The sequence below is a fragment of the Homo sapiens genome, chromosome 18, assembly GCF_000001405.40.
Source record: "Homo sapiens chromosome 18, GRCh38.p14 Primary Assembly".
Classification (NCBI taxonomy): Eukaryota; Metazoa; Chordata; class Mammalia; order Primates; family Hominidae; genus Homo; species Homo sapiens.
Genome location: NC_000018.10, coordinates 65,615,405 through 65,621,512, shown reverse-complemented (window position 1 = coordinate 65,621,512; position 6,108 = coordinate 65,615,405). Strand labels below are relative to the sequence as shown.

The following is a 6,108-nucleotide window of genomic DNA, read 5'->3' as shown; positions in this document are numbered from 1 at the left end:
GATACATGGTAGAATATTAATCAATTAGTTTTATGATACTAAATTTCTTTGAGCATGAAATAAATTATAACTGTATGTATATTCACCAAGCCATAAACTCTATCACATGGAAGGACACATAAGTAGTACATAACTAAATATTATTATTTTCTCAGTGTTTAGATATATATTTCTGGTTTTAAAACATTTTTATAGAATTTCTACTGTATCTACAAAATTGTTATATCAGTATAATATTTTTATTTTTTATGAAAAAATCTTCTGACTACAACCATAAAAGTTTGTTTAAATACTTTAGTATACTGTAATGAAACATTATTTAATGTAGTGTTTCTTAATTATGTAAGAATATACATAAGTTGCAAGGACTTAGTTACAACTTAAGTCTATGTTGTAAAACTTGTCTCATGATGAACTGCTCATTCCTATGAATGAGCACAGTGAATTCTCTCTTTCTGGGATATGTGAAATCTGAACATAGTACTACCATTCTCAGGGACATTTTTGAAAAAGTTTTAAACTATGACATGTACATAGCTTGTGAGTTGTCATTCTTATGCTTACAACGAGAAAAAAGCAGAAAAAAACAACTCTTTTTGAGCCCATCAGAGCACTGAGGTCACAAGAAAAACACACCAAACATAATAAAAAACAAACTATGCATACCTAAGTATGTCATAGACAGACTGCAGAAAACCAAACACAATGAAAAAAATCTTAGGTGAATCCAGAGGAGGAAAGTAATTTTACCTTGTAAGAAATGTGAGAAATATATTGAGAAATACATTGGATTCCTCATCAGAAAACTTACAGGTGAGAAAAGAGTGGACTTAATATTCATATATTTAATATTTAATATATTTAATACACTGAACAGAGACCTGTGGTTCTGTGCCACAAATGGAGTCTGCCAGCCACACACCCACCAGTGCCCCGCCCCTGTGCTGACACAGCTGCCAGTGCAAATGCATGCAAAGATGCCAGTGTCCTTGACCCCTGGCCCATGCCACGGCCACCACCAACATGAACATGCACCCAGAAGTCGCTGGTACTTCCCGCCCCCACACTGACATCACTGCTGGTGAGACTGTGCAAATGGACATGGCAGCCCTGCCGTCCTCCCCATGCCACCACTGCCCTCCTTCCCATGCCACCACTACTACTGCTGTGAATTTCTACTGGAAGCCAAACACTCCAGTGCCTGCCAGCACTCAGCCCCAGCCAACAATCATGCAACTCACTGCGCTGCCACTGCTGCTGGCACATGAAAACAATCATGAATTCTGCTGCCATTGCCCAAAGAAACACTTCGGTTGCCACCCCCCGGCGGAATGTTCTGGCCAGCAGTCAAGGAACATCTCAGCCCCTCCAGCCAGCAGATTTCTAACCTTGAGGAGCCAGAGAACAAATTTAGGGGCCAGTACTAAGCCCCCAGAGTAAGAATATGCAGCCCAGGACTTGCCCCTTTAAAATTTTCCAGAAACAAAGCCAGTCAACTAAATCTGCCTTACACTACAATCAAACTCCTGAAGACGTCAAAGAAGATAAAAGCAAAAAGCAAAATAAAAAAAATGAAAAGGACAGTAACTTCAAAGATGGAAGGAACATCAGCCTGCAAAGATGAAAAAGAACTAATGTAAGAACTCTGGCAACACAAAAAGCCAGAGTGTCTGCTTAACTCCAAATGATCACACTAGTTCTCCAGCAATGGTTCTTAACCAGGCTGAAATGTCTGAAATGACAGCAACAGAATTGAGCATATGTATAAGAGAACAAAGATCATCAGCATTCAGGAGAAATCTAAGGATGTGAAGGAATAAAATAAAATGATACAGGAGATGAAAGTTGACACGGCTCTTTAAATAAAAAAAACAAACTGATGTAATAGAGCTGAAAAACTCACTTCAAGAATTTCTGAATACAGTCACAAGTATTAACAAGCAGAATCCATCAAGCTGAGGAAAGAATATCAGAGCTTGAAGACCAGTACTCTGAAATAAGTCAGACAACAATTAAAAAAAAAGAGAGAGAGAATGAGCAAAACCTTTGAGAAATATGGGATTATTTTAAAAGACAAAATCTATGTATCATTCACATCCCTAAAAAAGGAGAGAAAGCAAGCAACTTGGAAAATATATTTGAGGATATCTTCCATGAAAATTTCCTAAACCTCACTGCAGAGGTCAACTTCAAAATCAGGAAATGCAGATAACCCCAGTGAAATTCTACACAAGAAAAACATCCCTAAGACACATAGTCATCAGATTCTCCAAGGTTCAAGTGAAACAAAACATGTTAATAGCATCTCGAAAGAAGGGGCAGATCACCTTCAAAGGGAACCCCATTGAGTTAACAGTGGGCCTTTCAGCCAGAAAAGATTGGGGGCCTATATTCAGCATTCTTAAAGATCAGAATCTCCAACCAATAATTTAACCAATAATTTAACATCCAGTCAAATGTTCATAAGCAAAGACCTTTTCAGACAAGCAAATGCTAGGGGAATATGTTGCCATCAGACTTGCCTTACAAGAGGTCCTGAAGGGAGTGCTAAATAAAAAGGAAAGACCATTATGAGCCATTACAAAAACACACTTATGTATACACCGTTGTGACACTATAAATAAATCACACAAACAAGTCTGCATAATAACCATCTAACAACACAACAACATGATCAAATCTGGACATATCAATACTAACCTTGAATGAAAATGAGCTAAATTACCCAATTAAAAGACACAGAGTGGCAAATTGGATAAAGAAGCAAGACACAAAAGTATGCTGTCTTCAATTGACATACCTCATATGCGATGACACACATAGATTCAAAATAAAGGGAGGAGAAAAATCTATCAAGCAAAAGAAAATTTTTAAAAAGCAGGGCTTACTATTCTAATTTCAGACAAAATAAACTTTAAACCAAGAAAAATTTTAAAAGACAAGGGCATTACATAACAGTAAAGGGCCCAATTTAACAAGAGGATCAAACTATTCTAAGTATATATGTGATCAACACAGTAGCACCCAGATACATAAAGCAAGTTCTTAGAGACCTATGAAGAGACTTAGATGACCACTCAATAATAGTGGGATACATCAACACCTCACTGACAATATTAAATTATCAAGGCAGAAACCCATCTAAGATACTCAGAATTTGAACTCAACACTTGACCAAATGGATCTAATAAACCTCTACAAAACTCTCCACTCAAAACCAACAGAATATACATTCTTCTCTGCACATGAGCACATACTCTAAAACAGGCCACACAATTGGGCATAAAACAATCTCCAGCAAATTCAAAAACACTGAAATCATATCAACTCTATTCCTGGATCATAGCATGATAAAAACAGAAATCAATAAGAAGAAAATTGCTCAAAACCACATAATTATATGAAAATTGAACTTGCACCTGAATAAAATTTGGGTCAATGACGAAACTAAGGCAGAAATCAAGAAAATCTTCAAAACTAATGAGAAGATACAACAAACATGAATCTCTATAACACAGCTAAAGCAGTGTTAAGAGAGGGGAGTTTATATCAGTGAATACCCTCATCAAAAGTTAGGAAGATCTCAAATTAACAACCTATCATCAAGAGCAAACCAACTCCAAAGCTAGTAGAAGACAAAAAATAACCAAAATCAGAGCTGAACTGAAGGAAATTGAAACATAAAAAACTGTACAAAAGATCAATGAATCAAGGATTTAGTTATTCGAAAGAATTTAAAAAACACGGATAGACCACTAGCTCGACTAGTAAAGAAAGAGAAGATTCAAATAAACATAATCAGAAACCACCAGGGAGATGTTACCATTGAGCCCACAGATATATAAAGAAGCACTCAGAGACTACTATGAACAACTCTGTGCACACTAACTGGAGAACCTAGCAGAAATGGCTTTTTACAAACAAACATACAACCTCCTAAGATTGAACCAAGAACAGATAGTATCCATGAACAGACCAATAACAAGTTCCAAAATTCCATCAGTAATAAAAACCCTATCACCTAGAAAATGCCCAGGACCAGATGGATTGACAGCTGAATTCTACCAGATGTATAAAAAAGATCTGGTACCATTCCTACTGAAACTATTGCAAAACATGGAGGGAGAGGGACTCTTCTCTAACTTTGTGAAGCCAACACAATTTTGATACCAAAACCTGGCAAAGACACAACAAAAAAATGAAAAACTTCAGGCCAGTATCCTGGGTGAAAAATTCCTCAACAAAATGCTGGCAAACCAAATCCTGCATCATATCAAGAAGTGAATCCACCATGATCAAGTAGCCTTTTTCCCTGGGATGCAATGTTGTTTCAACATATACAAGCAAATACGTGTGATGTATCACATGAACAGAGCTAAAGAAAAAAACGGACATGAATATCTTGATAGGTGCAGAAAAGGCTTGCAATAAAATTCAACATCCCTTTATGTTAAAAACCTTCAACACACTAGGCATTGAAAGCAATACTTCAAAATAATAAGAGCCATCTATGAAAAATCCACAGCCAACATCATACTGAATAGGCAAAAGCTAGAATCATTCCCCTTGAGAACTGCAACAACACAAATATGTTCTCTCTCAACACTCCTATTCAACACAGTACTGGAAGTCCTGGCCAGAGCAATAGGGCAAGAGAAAGAAATAAAATGCATCCAAATAGGAAGAGAGAAAGCCAAAATATCCCTGTTTGTAGACAATGTGATTACATACATAGAAAACCCCATAGCCTCTGCCCAAAGGCTCCTAGATTTGATAAACATTTCAGCAAAGTTTCAGTACACAAAATCAATGTACAAAAATCGGTAGCATTTCACACACCAACAGCATCCCAGCTGATAGCCAAATCAAGAATGCAATTTCATTCACAATAGCCATGAAAACAATAAAACGCCTAGGAACACAGCTAACCGGGGAGGTGCAAGATCACTACAATGAGAATTACAAAATACTGCTTGAAGAAATCAGAGGTAACACAAACAAATGGGAAAACATTCCATGCTTATGTATAGGAGGAATCAATATTGTTTAAACAGCCATACTGCCCAAAGCAATTTACAGATTCAATGCTATTCTTACCAAAATACCAATGAAATTCTTCATAGAATTAGGAAAAAAACCTTTTCTAAAATTTATACAGAATCAAAAAAGAGATTGAATAGCCAAGGAAATCCTAAGTAAAAACAACAAAGTGAAGGCATCACAATACTCAATTTCAAACTACACTACAAGGTGACACTAATGAAAACAGCAAGATGCTGGTACAAAAACAGACACATAGACCAAAAGTTAAAAGTTTAAAGTTTTTCATTGAAAAGGAAAATGATATAGGTAAGAAACTTGAATCAAATAATATAACTGCATTAGAGAAGGAATTAATCAAGCTAAAATAAAATCTTTTAGATTTTTTTATTCTATATTGATTTAAAATTTAGTTTGTTGAAAGTCATGATATTAACAATATTATAGCATCAGATGATTATAACACATGAATAAGTGAAATGAATAACAGCAACGCCATAAGGAATGGGCGGGAGGAATTGGGAATATAAGCTACCTGCACTGCATATAAAGCAGTAGAGTGTTATTTGAATGTAGAGTCAGAGAAGTTTAAAATGTAAACTTTAAACTCTAGGAACTCTGATAAATTTTTTAAAGTAAAATTGATGTGCTAAAAAAAGAGTTATAAAGGCATCTTATGAAATGCTCAATGAAAACAAGAGATAACCAGAATAGAGGAAAAACTGATAAAAAAATTGCAATGACTAAAAAATATTTGCAAACAATGGTAGATATTAGTCCACCTATATAAATAATTTAGTGTTAAGGGTCTAAATACGCCAATTAAAAAAGATTACTAGCGTGGATCAAAATAAATAAGACCCACCTATATGTTCTCTACAAGATATTCAATTTAAATATAAAGATTCAAATATGTTAAATAATGCAGAAATAGATATTATACTTCATTAGTTCGCTTGAGATGCTATAAAAAGTACTGTAGATAGATTGGCTTATACAATATTTATTTTCTCGCAGCCCTGAAGGCTGGGACCTCCAAGACTAAGGTGCCAATATATTTAATTCTTG

At 35.4% G+C, this 6,108-nt stretch overlaps 2 annotated features.

Annotated features, from left to right (window-relative positions):
• Positions 522 to 1,064: an enhancer, noted in NCBI's record as "H3K4me1 hESC enhancer chr18:63287685-63288227 (GRCh37/hg19 assembly coordinates)". NCBI's record gives its function as "activates a minimal SCP1, AML or CMV promoter by ChIP-STARR-seq in naive H9 embryonic stem cells {active_cell/tissue: H9 hESC(naive)}" and the evidence as "EXISTENCE:reporter gene assay evidence [ECO:0000049][PMID:30033119]".
• Positions 1,065 to 1,607: an enhancer, noted in NCBI's record as "H3K4me1 hESC enhancer chr18:63287142-63287684 (GRCh37/hg19 assembly coordinates)". NCBI's record gives its function as "activates a minimal SCP1, AML or CMV promoter by ChIP-STARR-seq in naive H9 embryonic stem cells {active_cell/tissue: H9 hESC(naive)}" and the evidence as "EXISTENCE:reporter gene assay evidence [ECO:0000049][PMID:30033119]".